The sequence below is a fragment of the Homo sapiens genome, chromosome 15 (genome assembly GCF_000001405.40).
Source record: "Homo sapiens chromosome 15, GRCh38.p14 Primary Assembly".
Taxonomy (NCBI): Eukaryota; Metazoa; Chordata; class Mammalia; order Primates; family Hominidae; genus Homo; species Homo sapiens.
The window spans coordinates 84,359,640-84,380,360 of record NC_000015.10 but is presented as its reverse complement, the minus strand read 5'-3'; the positions used below and the strand labels follow the sequence as shown (position 1 = coordinate 84,380,360).

The following is a 20,721-nucleotide window of genomic DNA, read 5'->3' as shown; positions in this document are numbered from 1 at the left end:
GCTAAAAACTCTCAATAAATTAGGTATTGATGGGACGTATTTCAAAATAATAAGAGCTATCTATGACAAACCCACAGCCAATATCATACTGAATGGGCAAAAACGGGAAGTATTCCCTGTGAAAACTGGCACAAGACAGGGATGCCCTCTCTCACCACTCCTATTCAACATAGTGTTGGAAGTTCTGGCCAGGGCAATCAGGCAGGAGAAGGAAATAAAGGGTATTCAATTAGGAAAAGAGGAAGTCAAATTGTCCCTGTTTGCAGATGACATGATTGTATATTTAGAAAACCCCATTGTCTCAGCCCAAAATCTCCTTAAGCTGATAGGCAACTTCAGCAAACTCTCAGGATACAAAACCAATGTGCAAAAAACACAAGCATTCTTTTACACCAATAAAAGACAAACAGAGAGCCAAATCATGAGTGAACTCCCATTCACAATTGCTTCAAAGAGTATAAAATACCCAGGAATCCAACTTACAAGGGATGTGAAGGACCTCTTCAAGGAGAACTACAAACCACTGCTCAATGAAATAAAAGAGGATACAAACAAATGGAAGAACATTCCATGCTCATGGGTAAGAAGAATCAATATCATGAAAATGGCTATACTGCCCAAGGTAATTTATAGATTCAATGCCATCCCCATCAAGCTACCAATGACTTTCTTCACAGAATTGGAAAAAACTACTTTAAAGTTCATATGGAACCAAAAAAGAGCCTGCATCGCCAAGTCAATCCTAAGCCAAAAGAACAAAGCTGGAGGCATCACACTATGTGACTTCAAACTATACTACAAGGCTACAGTAACCAAAACAGCATGGTACTGGTACCAAAACAGAGATATAGACCAATGGAACAGAATGGAGCCCTCAGAAATAATGCCACTTATCTACAACTATCTGATCTTTGACAAACTTGACAAAAACAAGAAATGGGGAAAGGATTCCCTATTTAAGAAATGGTGCTGGGAAAACTGGCTAGCCATATGTAGAAAGCTGAAACTGGATCCCTTCCTTATACCTTAGACAAAAATTAGTTCAAGTTGGATTAAAGACTTAAATGTTAGACCTAAAACCATAAAAACCCTAGAAGAAAACCTAGGCAATACCATTCAGGACATAGGCATGGGCAAGGACTTCATGTCTAAAACACCAAAAGCAATGGCAACAAAAGCCAAAATTGACACATGGGATCTAATTAAACTAAAGAGCTTCTGCACAGCACAAGAAACTACCATCAGAGTGAACAGGCAACCTACAGAATGGGAGAAAATTTTTGCAATCTACTCATCTGACAAAGGGCTAATATCCAGAATCTACAAAGAACTCAAACAAATGTACAAGAAACAAACAAACAACCCCATCAACAAGTGGGCAAAGGATTTGAACAGACACTTCTCAAAAGAAGACATTTATGCAGCCAAAAGACACATGAAAAAATGCTCATCATCATTGGCCATCAGAGAAATGCAAATGAAAACCACAATGAGATACCCTCTCACACCAGTTAGAATGGCAATCATTAAAAAGTCAGGAAACAACAGGTGCTGGAGAGGATTTGGAGAAATAGGAATGCTTTTACATTGTTGGTGGGGCTGTAAACTAGTTCAACCATTGTGGAAGTCAGTGTGGTGATTCCTCAGGGATCTAGAACTAGAAATACCATTTGACCCAGCCATCCCATTACTGGGTATATACCTAGAGGATTATAAAACATGCTGCTATAAAGACACATGCACACGTATGTTTATTGCAGCGCTATTCGTGATAGCAAAGACTTGGAGCCAACCCAAATGTCCAACAATGATAGAGTGGATTAAGAAAATGTGGCACATACACACCATGGAATACTATGCAGCCATAAAAAATGATGAGTTCATGTCCTTTGTAGGGACATGGATGAAGTTAGAAAGCATCATTCTCAGCAAACTATCGCAAGGACAAAAAACCAAACACCGCATATTCTCACTCATAGGTGGGAATTGAACAATGAGAACACATGGACACAGGAAAGGGAACATCACACACTGGGGCCTGTTGTGGGGTGGGGGGAGTGGGGAGGGATAGCATTAGGAGATATACCTAATTTTAAATGAAGAGTTAATGGGTGCAGCACATCAAAATGACACACGTATACATAAGTAACAAACCTGCACGTTGTGCATATGTACCCTAAAACTTAAAGTATAATAAAAAATAAATTTAAAAAACTTGTGCAATAAAGTCAAACAGCACCCAAAGAAAATGTATACCATTACAGGTTTGTTTAAAAAGCAATTTAAATTACATTGATCCACTAAACTAGAAAAAGCAAAATAAACAAAAAGGGGAAATAATTAAGACATAAGGAAAATGTGAGAAAAAAACTCACTAAATTTAAAAAATAAAACTAAAGGAGGATTCTTTCAAAAGCCTAAGATAATGAAACAGTCACGCCTCTGATAAGTGATCAAGATAAAGAAACCTTTGAAGAGAAAAGGGCATATAGCCACATGTGAATATGATGCAAAAAGTGAAAACTTTACACATCTTTACAACACCTTACAAGTATGGGAGAAGTGTTCATTTCTTTTAAGAATCTACAGTTACGAAAACTAACTGAAGAAATGGAAAATCTGGAGACCAATACGCAGAAGAAGGAAAAAGACAGACTCATCCTCCAAATTGGACATTTATTTAAACCAGGGTTTGTCAGCCTCAGCAATATTGATATCTTGGGCCAGACAATTCTTTGTGAGGGTTCTCCTGGTGTGTTGTGGGACATTTAGTAACATCCCCTCTACCCACGGAATGCCAATAAGACCTCCCGACCGTGACCAGTTGTGACCACAAAAATGTCTCCAGATATTTCCAAATGTCCCATGGGAGGCAAAATATTCCTGCAGTTGAAAACTACTGTGTAAACTAGATCTACATCCTAGGTCTTAGGAAAAAGATGTAAAGCTTCCCGAGTTAGCCCTGCACACCGTTGATACTGAAATGAAATACGAAACTGAAAGGAAACAAACAAAACTATAATCTTATTTAATACAGAAATAAAAATGCAAAAATAAAATATTACCATAGCCATTCTAACAGTGTTTATTATAGGAATGCAAGGATGATTCGAAATTAGGAAAATTTCATCAGGTAATTCACAAATTATATTTCTCCATAGAATTGTAGGCACAATCATGAAAAACAAGGTAGCTCTATATGCATTAAGTCCACGTGATATTCAGTGAAAAACACAAGTTGCAGATGTCTTACAGAAAAAAACTGAACACTGAACACATATTTCCACCATCTGCTCTTTGTCCTGAGGCTCCACTAGAAATACAGTGAAGAATAAACAATATATAAACACACAATTACAAAAAAAAGAAATGGGGTTACCCACAGAAGAGAATTCACCTCCATTAGAAAATGACAGTAAATGGAAAATGGTTAATTAATGGAGCAAAGCAAAGCAAAGTGGAGGTCAGGGGGACACCGATAACAAGGAAGCTAATTTGTCCCACAGCAACCTGGAAAGGTTCTAGACTCAGACACCAGGTACCCCCGAGAGTGGGACTGACAGGCAAGACTGAAAACAGAGATTAACCAAAAGCCTATATAGAGAACACATTTTCCAGGCCCTGAAACACACTGCTCTCCCCCATCTCCTTAAGCAGAACCCAAGCAAACATATCTACCTCAGACAAGAGAATGTAGATTTCACCTCCAGAGAAATGGAGTAGTTCCAGCCATCATTTATGATTGCACCGGGAGATAAGATAGGGGGGTAGAGGATGACAATTAGGAATCAGCATACATTCCCCCTAAAAGCTATCAGTTGGCAAGTCTTGGCCATGAAGAACTCCCAATTTTTTATTTCTATTTTTATTTATTTTTTTATATATTTATTTATTTATTTATGTTTTTGAGACAGGGTCTTGCTCTTTCACCCAGGCTGGAATGCAGGAATGCAGCAGGATGATCACAGCCCACTTCAGCCTCAACATCCCAGGCTCAAGTGATCCTCCTGCCTCAGCCTGCCAAGTGCTGGGACTACGGGTTGGTGTCACCAGACCTGGCTATTTTTTAAATTTATTTTTTGTGAAGGTGGGGTCTCACTATGTTGCCCCAACTAGTCTTAAGCTCCTGGGCTCAAGTGATCCTCCCACGTCAGTCTCCCAAAGCACTGAAATTGTAGGTATGAGCCACCACGTCCAGCCTCCCAGTCTTTTAGTACCTCTCTCAAATATGAATGAACAAAAAAGGGAATTAAAAAGAACATACAGGCTGGGCACGGTGGCTCATGCCTTTAATCCCAGCACTTTAGAAGGCCAAGGTGGGTGGATCACCTGAGGTCAGGAATTCAAAACCAGCCTGACTAACATGGAGAAACCCTGTCTCTACTAAAAATACAAAAATTAGCCGGGCATGGTGGCACATGCCTGTAAACCCAGCTACTCAGGAGGCTGAGGCAGGAGGATCACTTGAACCCAGGAGGTTGTGGTGAGCCGAGATCACACCACTGCACTCCATCCTGGGTAACAAGTGCAAAACTCCGTCTCAAAAAAAAAAAAAAAAAAAAAGACTACAAATGATAAGCAACATAGAATAGATATTTAAGGAAAGGTTTTAAAAAGAAAAATAAGACCAAAATAAACTAAGAAAAAAATTTATTAAAGAACAAAGAGATGCTAGGGAGAAGACAAAAGAGTATCCAAATCACTTCATAAAGACACTTGTGAATATATTACATGAATAAAACAAAAATAGAATATGAATAAGGAATAATCAGAGAAGAAAAAGTTCTTAGAACTCAGGGTTCATCTTGGGAGTTGGTCCCCAGTGAGCCACACCTCCCAGCATCATGTCCTTGGACAGTCCCATCCCACAGTGAATCTGGGTTGGCCCCAAGATTCACTTTAACCTACAGAATTAGGTAGAAATGACACTGGACCTGTTCCAGGTCTAAGCCTTAAGAACACCTGGCAGCTCCACATCTGCGCTTCTAGTAGCCAAAATAAGTACTGACTAATCTCTCGGGGAAAGAGAAGCCATATGATGAGGCCAGAGAGGAAGGCCACATGAAGAAACACCAAAGCAGGTGACCTGTGGGTGAAGAAGCCGTCTCAGACATTCCACTGCAGCTGAGCATCCAGATGACCAGTGCCTGACACCATCTAACCGCACAGTGAGAGATGCCAAACGAGACCAGCAGAAAAACTGTCCAGCTATCCTCAGTTAACCCATACAGTAGTGACAGGTAGACAAATGTATAGTTTTATGCCATTAAGTTTTGGGAAAATTGGTTAAGCAACAATAAATAACCAAAACAAAACTTAACGTTGATTGTCCAAATAAAATTTCCTAGAAGTCAAAATATAAGAAAAATATTCCAGAACTTAAAATTTTTTTAAAAATTAGAAATAATGTGACATACAAGTCTCAAGACAAGAGGACTAAAATCCAATTAACAGACACTTCAGAATGAACAAATAAAGTGGAAAAGAGAAAGTTAACAAAAATATGACAAGATTCAAGATTCCAACTTTGAAAGAGCCGATCCATAGGCCTATCCATTCGGTATACCCAGCACAGTGAATGAAAAAAGACACACACTAAGTACAATGTTGTGGCTATTTCAGCTCACCAAGGAAAAGACAAACTCCTAAAAGCTTCCAGAGAGAAAGTCATGCATGAATGAGTGAAACTCAGGATGGCATGAGGCTTCACCACCATGACTGGTTAGAAGACAACAGCACAGACTTTGAAATTCTAAGGTAAAATTATCCTCAACCTAGAAATACATAATCAACCAAACTATCAATCAAGTGTGAGGGTAGACTATGACAAAAGTGAATAGTGATGGGGATGGGCTAAGCACCAGGCACTGTTCTAAATGGTTTACATGTACCAACTCATTTAATCCTCATAGCTCCCTAGAAACATAGGTACTAATACTATTACCGGTTCCCCCATTTTGCAAATGGAAATTGATGCATAGAGCAATTAGGGAATCTGCCCAAGGGCATACAGCTAATAAGTAGTAGAACCAAGATTCAAATCTATCTCAGACTGGCTCCAAAACCCAAACACTGGATTGTATTTTTTCAGAAGCCAGAGATCAGAAAATATACCACTCCATGCTTTCTCAGGGTTTTACTTGAGGACATAGTCAGGTAAAATGACAAAGGGAAAAGCCAAGAAAGATGACATGGGATCCAGGAAACAATGGATGTACTCTAGGCGAGCAGATGAGAAAAACCTCAAGATGACATGTGCACAGCCAACCCGAAGAACAACCTGCCAAAATGGGCACAGAGGAGCCAAAGGCTTTGGAAGAGAAGGAGATCTCACAGAAAGGGCTACAACAGAATTTTTTAAATTAAAAATTACTATTATGAGGAAGACACTGCAAAACAAAAAGTTTGAGGGATGGGAGGAAGAAACTGAGATCACAGGGAAAATTGTAAGAGACATTCAGAAGGACAGGTCTTAGAAATTTACTAGTTTGGGGGGGCGGTCAGAGAACAGTTGTATATAAAAGAATATTAAGACAGTTTCCAGGTTTAGGCATATGTGACTAGATAGAGTGCTAGGAGATGGATACGTGAAAATTTAAATACCATCATTTTGAACACCCATGTCACTCCAAGCGAGATTCCCTAACATATATGATATGCAGACAGATATATGGGTTTGAAACTCCGGAGATGAATACAAATTTAGGAGTCCCTGGAACACAGGTCATGACTTAAGTAATGGGAGTCAAAGATTACTCAGAGAAAGCACAGAATGAGAAGAGAAGAAAGAAGTAGGACAAGGAAGAAGAGATCGGAGGAGACCAAGGCAGGGTGATAAGATCAAAACAGGAGAAAAGAATCCGATAGAAGTCTCATTCGATTATCATGTCCCTTCCCAGAGGACAGAGACATGCCTTTTTTGTCTTTTATACCCAATTATCACAGGTCCTGGTGCAGCAGACACACAGTTTTTTTTTTAATTGTGTTGTACTATTCACAGTTTCCTTTATCCACCAGGGGAGAAAAAAGTAAGTATAAAGAAGCACAGACACAGATGTTTTTACACTGTGTACTAAAGGGGTCAGATTATACACAATATTTTATGCCTTACTTTTTTACCTAATATATCTTAGAAGTTTGCACATGCTCTTATGGAAAGACTGGCTGCATTTTTTGGTCCACAACAGAACAACAGAATATTCTATTATAAAATTGTACACTATAATTTTTATTTAACCAACTCTTTATTGGTGGACATTAAGAATGGAGGAATGTTTCAACAAAGGAACAATCAACAGTATCAAAATACTGCAGAGGGGTCAATTTGGGGACTAAGAGGGGAGCCACTGGATTTGACAACTAGGAGATAAATTTTAGTGCAACGATGAAGGCAGAATCCAGATTATAATGAGCTCAGTGAAAAAAGGTGAAGACATGTAGCTTATTCTCTCAAGAAACTAGGCTATGATAAACTGGCAGAGGCTCTAAGAGTGGGAGGTGAGTTGTTTTCTCCTTCATGTAAATATATTTACTTTTTTAAACACTAGGCCCAGTTTTATATCCTACTTCATTTAACTTTATGAACATACTTATGTATGTATGCATGTATGTATGTCATGTAATGTTTTAGACACTGAAAAATAACTCATTTCTGCTATTATAAAACTGGTATCTTTAGATGTTCAGATGCAACTTCCTAAAAGGAGGTAGCAGTAATGGAGCTATGTCTATCAGTCTTTCCCATCAACCCCCTTGCTGGAGATGTAAACATGTGTCCATCAAGCCTTTAATTTTTACCTCTTATCTTCATGGCTCTCCACACAAAACTTAACTCTTTTTTTTTCTATTTGTATATGTATATTTACATGTATATGTATATTTATATGTATATGTATATCGAGAGAGAGAGAGAGAGAGAAAGAGTCTTGCTATGTTTCCCAGGCTGATCTCAAACTCCTGGGCTCAAGCAATCCTCCCACCTTGGCCTCGCAAAGTGCTGGGATTACAGGCATGAACCACTGTGCCCAGCTGCAGCCTGAACTCTTAAAATATCTTCAAACCAATATTCTTCTGTTCTAATTTTTAAGAATAGATGTGTTTAAACCAACTGTAACTTATTTTGACAAAAATTGGAGTTAAGACTCAGACTTCCTCAAATAGTTCTCCTAAAACCATTTACAGAATAATCTCTCTTTTCAGTATTAAGTTAAAATACCACCTCTTCCTTACACTAAATTCTCATTTGCATGACTCTGGTTCTAAACTTCCATTGACTTTATCTGTCTGGCCCAGGGCTAGTCCACAATATTTTATTTAATATCTGGTTGAAAGAGTCTATACTTTATTAATTTTTATTATTTATTCTTCTAAACTAACTTTAGAGTCGTTTTTGTCAAGTGTCAAAAATAAATCTGCTGGAATTTGTGCTGAAATTTGTGTATATATATATACACACTATATATGATATAAAATGTATATATACAATTTATATATATATATAATATGAAATGTATATATACAATTTATATATAAATATATATATAATATGAAATGTATATACATATATATATATATACACACACACACACACACACACACACACTTTTTTTCTGCTTTTTTTTTTTTTTTTTTTTGAGACAGGGTCTCACTCTGTCACCTAGGCTGGAGTTCACAGGCATGATCTCGGCTCACTGCAACCTCTGCCTCCCAGGCTCAAGTGATCCTCCCACCTCAGCCTCATAAGTAGTTGGAACTACAAGTGTGTGCCACAGACACCCAGCTAATTGTCATCTACCTGCCTCAGCTTTCCAAACTTTTGGGATTACAGGTATGAGCCACTGTGCCCAGCAGAAATTACATTTACAAATTAATATGAAGACATGGTGATAACTAACATATTTATAACATGAAATCTGCTCATCCAGGAACATAGAATGCAAATCTTTCATTCCACTCAGCAAAATTTTGTCCTGTCCTTGATAAAAGTCCTGCACATCTAAGTTTATTCCTAGGTATTTAATTTTTGCTGAAATACCTGAAAAAATACTTCATCACTATATCTTCTATGTGATTATAAATAACATTTAGGAAGGCTATTGATTTTTATATAAAAGAGCTTTTAACCAGTAATCTTAAAAATTGTTTTTTTCAGTTGGTTCCTTTGGATATTTTTAGGTAAACAATCATGTCAACTGAAAATAATGATTGTTATTTTTCTATATAGACTACGACATCATGGGAAAATACAGTAAATACTTTTTAAAAGAATATAAAAGGGCTGGGCACAGTGGCTCACGCCTGTAATCCCAACACTTTGGGAGGCTGAGGCGGGAGGATCACGAGGTCAGGAGATTGAGACCATCGTGGCTAACATGGTGAAACCCCATCTCTACTAAAAAATACAAAAAATTAGCCAGGCATGGTGGTGGGCACCTGTAGTCCCAGCTACTGGGGAGGCTGAGGCAGTAGAATGGTGTGAACCTGGGAGGGGGAGCTTACAGTGAGCCGAGATTATGCCACTGCACTCCAGTCTGGGTGACAGAGCAAGACTGTCTCAAAAAAAAAAAAAAAGAAAAGAATATAAAACTATAGAGAATACGACCTCAACTATTTAAACATATGTATAAGGGTTATGTATTTTACTAGCAAAGAAAAAATATATACTGGTAGAAAATGGCCATCATGTCAACTGTCAATAGTGGTTATATTAGGTAGAGAATTTATGGGAGACTAATTTTTTTCTTTTTGCTTTTCTGTACTTTACTAATTTTCTCAACAATGGTTGCTTGTGAGTTTTATAATAAAAAAAGTTTTAAAAATTTTTCCAACATGGAAAGTTATATTTCTTTATAAACTAAGAACAAAAACAAAACTTCCTATTTGAATACATTTGACTTTTACTGCAGACTTACAGACCCTTGAAAGAAAAGGCAATTCCCTCCCAGTAGTTTTGGTGTCATTCTCCCCATCTCTCCCTTCACTTCCACCTTGGTCTTCTTTCTACTTCCCACCTTGGCTAGTGGTCTCCACCCAAAATGCTTGCTTGGCTTAATGGTTAGAATTCAGGGAAAAAGAGATCCCAAATTGCTAATCTAAACTAAGGTTATACATGTGGGAAATAATAAAGAGAAACCAGGTAGTAAATAAGATTTGGAGGACTTAAAATACCCAGACTTTAATTCCTCTAAGTTTATAGTTATTAATCATGTTTTTTATCATATTATCTCTTAACATTTAATTTCTAAATATAATGTTTATAAGGAAAAGAGAAAACAGCTTGGCTTCTTTCCTCACCGAATTGTTGTTCTTAGCATCTTCTAGACATTCCAAAACTGATGTCAGATTTGGCTCATCAGAGTCCACAAACCATATCGGTGAAGAAGATGAATAGGATTCCTGTTTAACCCAGAGACACCTATGTTAAATGTTTACATACAGACTAACCCAAATATGCAATTAAACCACACCACTAAATGGCAAGATGACCATGGATTTAAACAAAATGTATGGGGGAAAAGGCAACACGTTTAAACCCATGTGAGGAGCTGGACTTCTGAGACAGCCATTCTCCTTGCATAGCACTGTCTGCTGCTACAGCTCATAGAAGTCAACAATTTTCTTCAACACTGGTAGGCAGCCTCTAAACGGCCCTGATCACCCTCACCTCCTGCCATTCACACCCTTGTAAAATTCCACCCCTGGACCTAGTGACTCACTTCTAACAAAGAGAATACAGCAAAAGTAACATCGCTTCTGAGGTGAGGCTACAAGGAGACTACGATGCCTGCCTTGGTCACCCTTCTCCTGCTCTTTCCATTGCTCCCTCTGATGGAAGCCAGTTGCCATGTGATGAGGTGCCCTATGGAGAGGCCCACGTGACAAGGTATTGTAAAAGGCCTCTGACCAATAGCCATCTAGAAACGGAGGCCCAGTCCAGCAGCCTCTGAGATGAATCCTGCCAACCTGAGCTTGGAGACAGATTCTCTCCCTATCCTGCCTTGGGATGATCACAGCCACCACCAACACCTTCACTGCCTGGTGAGAGGCCAAGCCAGTGAACCCAAGGTAAACTGGACAGAATCCTGACCCACAGAAACTGTGAGATAATGTTTGTTGTTTTAAGCTGCTCAATTTGTTACAGAGCAATAGATAACTAATTCAAACACCATAAAATTCGTACATTTTATTCTATCACACAAACCAAGTAATACGAATAAATGCATTATACATATATTTTTGGGACACAATTACATGTGATTTTTTAAAAAGCTAATGAACTAAGCATTATGCACTTTCACCCACTAATAGACATTTACTCTGTTGCATTGTACTGTCTTCTATTAGAAATTGGCGAAAAGCAATTGTTATTATATATTAGCTTCAGAAGAACTAGGTTCAAGTCAAGGAAAACCAAGAAAACCAGAAAACCATGAAAACCACGGAAAACCAGAAAAACAAGTTGGCCGGGTGCGGTGGCTCACGCCTGCAATCTGGGCACTTTGGGAGACTAAGGTGGGTGGATCACGAGGCAGGAGATTGAGACATCCTGGCTAACATGGTGAAACCCTGTCTCTACCAAAATAAAAACAACTAGCCAGGCATGGTGGCTCATGCCTATAGTCCCAGCCACTCAAGAGGCTGAGGCAGCGGAATCGCTTGAACCCGGGAGGCAGAGGTTTCAGTGAGCTGAGATGCGCCACTGCACTCCAGCCTGGTGACAGAGCAAGACTCCATCTCAAAAAAAAAAAAAAATAAGTAAATAAAATAAAAAGGAAAAGAAAAACAAGTTGTATTGAAGGAGGACATCATTAACAGTCTATCTCTTCAATAATGATTTATTTCACTATTCTCATTCTTCTCATTCCTCTCTTACAGTGTCCCAAATCTTTTTACAGGCTAAAAGAAACTCTTCAGAATGAATCCTATTCTTTTTGTTTCGTTTTGTTTTTGAGACAGAGTCTCGCTCTGTCACCCAGGCTGGATGCAGTGGCACGATCTCAGATCACGGCAAGCTCCACCTCCTGGGTTCATGCCATTCTCCTGCATTAGCCTCCAGAGTAGCTGGGACTATAGGCACCTGCCACCACGTCCGGCTTATTTTTTGTTTTTTAGTAGAGACGGGGTTTCACTGTGTTAGCCAGGGTGGTCTCGATCTCCTGATCTCCTGATCCACCTGCCTCAGCCTCCCAAAGTGCTGGGATTACAGGTGTGAGCCACCGTGCCTGGCCCAATGCTATTCTTAAAGAATACCACTTACTGACTATTGCATTTTCTTCTTCAAATTCTTCAGCATACATTGGGAATACACCATATGGACCATTTTTAAATTTTTAGTTTGGGTTTTTTTTTTGGCTAAAGAAAATGCAACTAGATTTACGACCTCATTCTATTAGGTTAGTATTTGTCTAGTAAACTTCAGCATAAGCAAAGTAGAATACATGTTGCTGCTCTGGACTGAAACCCCTCAAAACCATATTTTAAAAACTACAAAAACATTAACTGAAATCAAGTTTTTAAAAATCTTGTAGATGAAAAGATATGATATATAGTAGGTTTAAGTACCTATTTCAGTGGTTCCCAAAGTGCAGCCCTCAGACCCCCAGGTCCAAACTGTTTTGACAGGAATACTAACATGGTGACATTTGCTGTAAGGGTGCAGATGCAATGGTGGGTAAAAATGCTGGTACTTTAGCATAAATAAAGGCAGTAACACCAAACTACTAGTAGTCATGGTATGACTACTGTGCACGGGAAAGGTTTAAAGGTGTAAAAAGGAAGGGAGGGCCGGGCATGGTGTCTCACGCCTGTAATCCCAGCACTTTGGAAGGCCAAGGCGGGCAGATCACCTGAGGTCAAGAGTTTGAGAGCAGCCTGGCCAACACGGTGAAAGCCCGTCTCTACTAAAAATACAAAAATTAGCTGGACATGGTGGTTGCATGACTGCAGTCCCAGCTACTTGGCAGGCTGAGGCAGGAGGATTGATTGAGCCCAGAAGGTTGAGGCTACAGTGAGCTGTGATCATGCTACTGCACTCCAGCCTGGGTGACAGAACAAGGCCGTCTCAAAAATAAAAACAATGTCTATGATGAAGCAGTGAAAAATTTACATCTTAATCCTTGAATATATCTTTTTAATATTTCAAGTGATGAAATGGGAAGTATACATGAGCACACCTACAGACTGTCAGAGAAAAAACCCTCATGAGACTAAGTCATGAAGTGAATTAACCACTTTAATGGAATATCATTTTTATTCCAAAAGATGGCTGACAAAAAATGTTATTTCAGCTTGGGTTTTGGGAGACATTTTCTCAAAAAAGGAGATTCTGTTATTTCAAGGAAAACAACAGACAGGCCATAATAAATTTCAACAATACAATTGCTAATACTAAAACTCAAGCTTTTGAACAAAAAATTAGAATTTTAGAAAACTTATATCCACCATCGCTTTCCAAAAGTATTCTGATGAGACTGATGGTGATATTGATGAGTGTATTTTGATATTGTACAATCAAATGTATCAACATATAGAAGATCTCAGTGAACCATTATTTTTGAACTGAACTGAACAATGCATGATGTTATAATACCATGCAAGGGTAAAAGATCCAAAGTTCAAGAAAAATCAATTTTTGATGGAGTATCAAAAAAGAAGCCAAGGCAACATGGCAAAACTCTGTCTCTACAAAAAATACAAACAATTAGCTAGGTGGGGTAGTACACATCTGTAGTCCCAGCTACTCTGGAGGCTGAGGTGGGAGGATCACCTGAGTCCCCAGAGAATGAGGCTCCAGTGAGCCGTGATCATACTACTGCATTCCAGCCTGGGAGACAGAGAAAGACCCAATCTCAAAAAAAAAAAAAAAAAAAAAAAAAGAAATATCCATAATGATCTAAAATGGCTATCTGTATCAGATTGGCCTTTGTTCACATTTTTTCAAGCAAATATCACACAATAAATTGAATGGAAATGCAAATGACGTATCAAACATCAACGAAATTTGCAAAAGGTGTAAGATTGTACTACTTTGGGTTTAGAAATTTTCTTTTCATAAAAGCATTTATAACAAAATTTGGTGAGCTTTTAAAGAATATTCTAAATATGTCTGATTTAATTTCTAGTGATAAATACCAATAGATATAACCTATATACAGAAAAGCTCCTTGGGCCCTCAATATACTTTTAAGAGTGTAAAGGAATCCTGACCCCAAAACTTTGAGAACTGCTGCCTTCCCCTCCACTTTCTTCCTTCCCTAGAATTTCTTCCTTGGAAGAAACATTCCTTTGCCATTCTATGTTAACTTACACAGTTCTATTGAGGCCAGTTTTGCTACCTCTCTCCCATCTTTCCACATCCCGCTCTTGACACAAAACCTGACCAAAGGACTCTACCCGCCCACCTCATTTCCAGTGATTAGCTCTCAGGTGGGCTAAGCCAAGAAAATCTGGGTTTTCCCTGAGACTAGACCTCTCTTTCTGGGAGATATGGAATCACAGGGACAAGATTGGCCACCTAGGGATAGTCAGAATTCATCTTGCCTAAATGGGAAGAGGTTAGGCAAGTTTCTAGAATGCCAGACTGCTTTCTAGAAAGTCAAAGTTAATTATACTTTCTGCCATGACTGTGAGAATGCCCATTTCATTGCACACTTTCTGACATTTTTACCAATCTGATAAATAAAAGCTGGTACCTAGAAGAAAAAAAGGCTGGGTGTGGTGGCTCATGCCTGCAATCCCAGCACTTTGGGAGGCCAAGGTGAGTGGATCACCCGAGGTCAGGAGTTCCAGAACAGCCTGGCCAACATGGTGAAACCCCATCTCTACTAAAAATAGAACAATTAGCCAGGCATGGTGGCAGCCACCTGTAATCCCAACTACTCAGGAGGCTGAGGCAGGAGAATCACTTGAACCTGGGAGGCGGAGGTTTTAGTGAGCCAAGATCATGCCATTGCACTCCAGCCTGGGTGACAAGAGTGAGACTTCGTCTCAAAAAAATGTTTTTTTCCATACAATATAATTTGTTCCATCTCTAGAAACCAATTCAGCAATGAGAACTGAAAGCGACCACAGGGAAGGTTTCAAGGATTTAGCTCTACCTATTGATGTCTAAAGCATTAGTTAAGGTAGAAAACACACACACACAAACACAAACACTCACTCACTCACTCCTATGTATTCAGTACCAGAAAACGCGAATGACTAGATGGTATAGTCATCCAACACAAAGCACACAATAACTGAAGGCACTGTAGATGAGTAACTTATGACACGGATCTACAATATTGTTGAGTGAAAAAGCAGGTTACAAAAAAAATCTGATTTTTTAAGGGAGAGGGAACACACACAAGCAAAGGAGAAAAGAGATGAGCAGATGATGGGAAAGATACAAAATTCTGACAGTGGTACATTCTGAGTGGTAGAATTATTGGTATTATGTTCTAGTTTTGCCTAAAAATTTTCTAAATTTCTTAAGAAGTTTTTGTTATCCATATTATAAAATATCCATCACCCCAGGAAACTTAACCTTGAGCACAAACTCTACAACATGTTCAATGTTTTCAGTTTAATATTTAAGAAACAATCTATTTTGAAAGACATCTAAAATGATGACCAATATTTAAACCTATGCATTAATATTTTTCAATAGTATGCTTTATATTTTGTAATTTTGATAAGTTTAAGTTTTAGATCCATCTTGAAAAGATAAGTTTTCTATTTGTCTTTAAAATATTACCTATAATATGCCTGTTTTTAAACAGTGAATGATGCTCAAAAATCACAATATAAATTCAGGCAGTGTTCCTTCCATGGAATGTTTAAGTGTTCCTAACACTGTTCTTCTTCACCGATTATGAAAACACAGAACAATTATCTAAGCATCTGATTATTCAGGTCCTTTGTTTCTCCTCCATTCTGTTAGTTTTATACTAATTTCAAGGCCCGTGAGGATGAAGTTGTCTGTGACAGCTACCACAAAGGTTACCATCAGCAGACAAATTTCCAGCAAGTTTATCACCACTACCATCCCCACCATAAAACTGTCTCAATCAAGGGCAACACAATTCAAGGTTAGCCAAGACAACCTCTTTACCTGTCACTGCTTAAGAAAAGGATGTTTTGGTCTTATTTAGAAATAACTTTCTGTATCTATTTTTCTCCATAATTCCACTGAGACCAATGTGTGCCCCTATCTCAAGCACCAGCAAGCAAAACTGCCTGCTAGTATGTTCAGTTTTTGTATCTTTCCAAATGTAGGGCACAGCTATCTTTTGATATCATAATTTTTTGAAAACTGACGCACAAACTTCTTATTGAAAGTTCAGCCGGGCGCGGTAGCTCACGCCTGTAATCCCAGCACTTTGGGAGGCCGATGTAGGCAGATCACGAGGTCAGGAATTCAAGACCAGCCTGGCCAACATGGTGAAACCTGTCCCTACTAAAACTGCAAAAATTAGCCAGGTGCGGTGGCAGGTGCCTGTAATCCCAGCTACTCAGGAGGCTGAGGCAGGAGAATTGCTTGAACCTGGGCAGCAGAGGTTCCAGTGAGGCAAGATCGCACCACTGTACTCTGGCCTGGGTGATAGAGTGAGACTCCATCTCAAAATAAAAAATAAAAAAAAGAATTTCAGATATACAGCAGTTGTAATTCTTCTGAAGGCTGCTTATGGGACACATTACTTTCATACTTTGCTGTTCGATAAATGTGGGGTGGAGAATAAAGTAAATTGACAGAATTACCATATAAAATAAAATTCGAAGTCCTATGACAACAAAAGAAACTTAAAATACACACACACACACACACACACACACACACACACACACACACACACACACACACGGTTTTCCCTGCTAATCATTTTACAACAACCACGTAGCTAACCCAGAGCCCACAAAAGCAGAGTCAAAATTCTAACACTTGGTAAAATAAAAATGCACATATATCCCTGTCATCTAAAAAAAATGCTTAAGTATTCAAAGACAGACAGCAGTTATAGCTACTGAGAACATCATTGTAAGCAAACTGAGGCAGAGAAAACAAACGTGCTGATGAGGATTTGAAACACCTAAGCTGCAGAAACCCACTAGGTGGTTTCCTAGGTTCCGAGTTGGCATTATCTTTCAGAACGATCTTCTAGAAGAGATCACATAACACTGTTACAAAGGATCTGGAGAAAGGGACCCTGGCTTCATCACTCTGGCTCTCCAGTCATGCTTTACATTTTCACTTCTTACACTCTCTTTCATAGGAAGTCAATTTACAGGCCTCCATCAAGCCCTTAGAGACCTTTTTGTACTATCCATGACAAGTTCTTGATGTTATGTCTGCACTTCTGACAAATTCTTAGCAGTTAACTTACAAGGCAGTTAAGATTTTTGTTCAAGCACAATATAGCTAGAATAGGCTCATACGTTCAATAAAACAAATATTTACCAAGCATTTATTGAGTGGAAGATAAAAAGCACAAAGCATAATTATATTCTCCCCTGCCACCATAAAAAAATTTTTTAAAGCCTTATAGAATAAGGCATAACATGACCAAAGCAAAAATAGTGAGGACTAAAGAGGGGAGGAAGGGGAAATATCAGCATGAATTAAATATGACCCAGAAGAGCCTTGATGGTCAGACACGTAAAGACAAATTGGGTAGGGTTAGGGGGTGGCTGTCAGGGGCACATTCTACAGGGGAAAAATAGATGATACAGAAGCCTGAAAGAAAAAGCGGGCAGAGCACCTGGACAGGACTCTTACCTGCCGCATCCAGGGTACAATGCGCCTTTCCAGAACACAGCAGCGACCCGGGGTAGAGGGATCGCTCAAACAGCACCAGAGGCTGCATTCCAACTTTTCCTCCATCAACGAGTCCGTTTTCATTGTTAGTTTCTCCTTAAACACGATTGGCTGAACATGCGGGAACAAGGAAAACCTGACTGAAGAACGAGGCATTTAAGCTTAAGGGCCTTGGATCCGGGCGCGGTGGCTCAGGCCTGTAATCCCAGAACTTTGGGAGGCAGAGATGGGTCATTTGAGGTCAGGAGTTTGAGACCAGCCTGGCCACCATGGTGAAACCCACTCTCTACTAAACAACACAAAAGTTAGCCTTCCTCTTCTGCTTTTCCCAGCAGGAAAGGCCCAGCCTCACCTATGCAACCTGCAGCCCCCCGCCAACCAGTTGAGGCTCCCCTCTTAGACTTATATGTCTATGGCCAGTGCCATCTGGCTACCTGCCCTCCCTGCCTTCCCTAGGGTCCCTCAGAGGACCCTGGGTTTTCTGATGGCCCAGAGGGGCCTCTGGCGACCACTCCAGCCAGCCATCCCTTATAGCTCCACCATTTTGGTTCAGGCAGTGTTCCTTCTCTATCAGGCCTGGTGGCTGTTGGATGGGGCTCTCCAAGCAAGAGGTGGCCCTGGGCCAGTGGGTTGGAAGACATGGGGACCACAGAAGAGGGAAGCCCGAGGGAGCTGGCATTGGTCTGAACTGTGGGTGGATGGGTGGATTGCCTGGGTTCCATGAGACAGGCCAGCGTGTGTGGGGTGGGGAGGGCCGCCGCAGTCCCCAGGCACTACCTATGAAGCTCCGGCTTCTCCCTCCATCTCCCTCCCCTTTTCCTTCCAGCCCCTCTTTTCCAGGAACCTTGCCATGCCCACACCTACGCCCTCCCCTCCCCGGCCCTCCACAGCTGCTGCAGCGCACCCATACTCTGCACTTGCCTCACCAGCTCTGGCTTTTCTCTAACCCGTTTTCTCTCTGCTTTCTCTCCAACTGCCAGCTGATCGGGTCAGGCAAGTCCATCCCGTCCTGAGAGCCCCAGGCCCCACTTCGACGTCTAAACAGATCCCTCTTCCCAGAGACCTCCCTTTCCAAGCCTGCCTGGGCGGGTGTCCTGTGACTTGACAGTGGCTCCCCCAGCCCCAAAGCCAGCCCCCTTCATCTGTGACTTAGTCTGTTGTAGTGGTGAGCTGACACGTCCAGGTGTGACCGTTGCTGAAAACTTGTGCCTCCTCTGTGGTATGCCCCTGCCCTGTTCTATAAATAGCTATAAATTCTCACACACACATACACAAACACACACACACACACACACACACACACATATATACATATATACACGTGGCCGACTGCCTCACCTCTAGCACTGGGAATCAGTCCCCGTGCTGTGCTTGTGGAGTCTTGTAGCCCAGCAAGAGGAAGCTGTCTCCTGACATCGCCCCTCCAAAGTGCACCACCTCCAGTGAGCTTCCGGGACATGCGCGGCCTGTGGACAGCCAGCCCCCGCCATCCCTCCCGCCCTTCTGGCCAAGCATGGCGGTGCTGTGCAGGCAGCTGTGTGGCCTGACAGTCTCTACCAGTCCTGCTGTCCCTCGGCTGAGAAACCCATTTCTGGATGACAGAGAATGTGTCCTCTGCTGGCTGTGTTCTCTATGGAGCTCAGGGGAGGGAAAAGGCCAAGCCATTTTTAGGGTGTTGTTGGGAACAGTGAAAAGGTCACACCCTTTTCAAGGGACACTTTTCCTGGAAAGTCCCTGGAGCTCAGCTGGCTCTTATCCTGTGAAGCCGGCTCTGGCCACTAGGGGACAGGGCCCTGAACTCAGCCTGGAAGGAGCCTGTGGGGCAGCCGGCACTCTGGAGGGACAGACAGGCCACCTGATGCAGACAGGAACGGGAGAAGGGGGATGGAACGGAAGACACCTGGGGTGGATGGAAGTCAGTGCCCTTGGGCACTGGTATCTGTCTTCCCTGCCACAGCTAGATCAGGCTTCTCAACCTGTTGACTGTCAGGGCCGGACTGTACTCCGTAGGTGCCATGGCAGTCCCCGTGAAATCCACCAGGTGTCACCAGGCAGCATACAGGTAACAGGCCTGGAAGATTCCCCACAGCCCAGCTGGACATGCTGAAACACTCTGGGGCTCCTCGTTGAGTGGGAAAAACTGCAGGACCCAGTGAGGGAAACGGGAACATAACAGGCCGAGCAGTATGGCTAAATCCATTTATTCCAAAATCAAAAGCAAAACAACAACAAACCAAAAACAGGAGTCCCGTCACCAGGGAGCCATGACCCCATCCCCGCCTCCTTCCTCGCTCCTATGCTAGCAATAAATAAGTTTCCCAGCCGCGAATAATTATAAGAACCTCTTCCTCATATGCCAGCTGCAACCTCCGCTAGGTACGATACAGAATGTTACACAGCTACAGTATGTACACGGGGGAAGGGGGGCCACCCCCAGCAGCCTGTGCCCTGGCCTGGTCTACAGTTAACTCCACTGTCCCGCCTCAGCTGCCTCTCTGAGTAAGAAGATGGGAGCCCCCCTGAGGGAAAAGTTGCTTTGGTGAGAGTAAGAAGGCCGTCAGACCTCCTCCAAACAAACCAACTCCACCAACCTCTGGCTCTTAAATAACAAACATCATCATCCAGAAATGTAAGGACTCAGCCTTGGTCAAGGTGGTAAAGGGTCTGTTTGTCTCCCTCCATTAGACAAGGGTCTTGTCTTGCTACCCTAATGGTAAAGGGCTGACTGGGGAGGGGTTGTAGGGACATGGTGGGGGTGAAGACTCCAGACCCACTTCTCCAGGCTTATGCTGACAGGGGCCTGCTTTTATTTATTTTTATTTTTATCCCATGACTTTTTTTAAATCCTGTAACTAATTTTTCATAACTTTTTAAAATAACTTTTCATAAAACTTTTTTTTTACTTTTTTTCCACAACTTTTTTTTGCCAC

At 41.0% G+C, this 20,721-nt stretch overlaps 1 protein-coding gene across 1 annotated transcript in view; it reads right to left on the bottom strand.

Annotated features, from left to right (window-relative positions):
* LOC105376722 (uncharacterized) overlaps positions 1 to 19,893 on the bottom strand; it is a 31,396-nt gene extending 11,503 nt beyond the window's left edge. Inside the window, exons 1-2 of the mRNA XM_047433431.1 lie at positions 19,725 to 19,893; positions 17,753 to 17,887 (exon numbers count right to left, since the gene is read on the bottom strand). Of these exons, the coding sequence (XP_047289387.1) occupies positions 17,753 to 17,887; positions 19,725 to 19,893 (304 nt within the window). The remainder of the gene's footprint in view (positions 1 to 17,752; positions 17,888 to 19,724) is intronic.
* Positions 19,894 to 20,721: the final 828 nt, after the last annotated feature.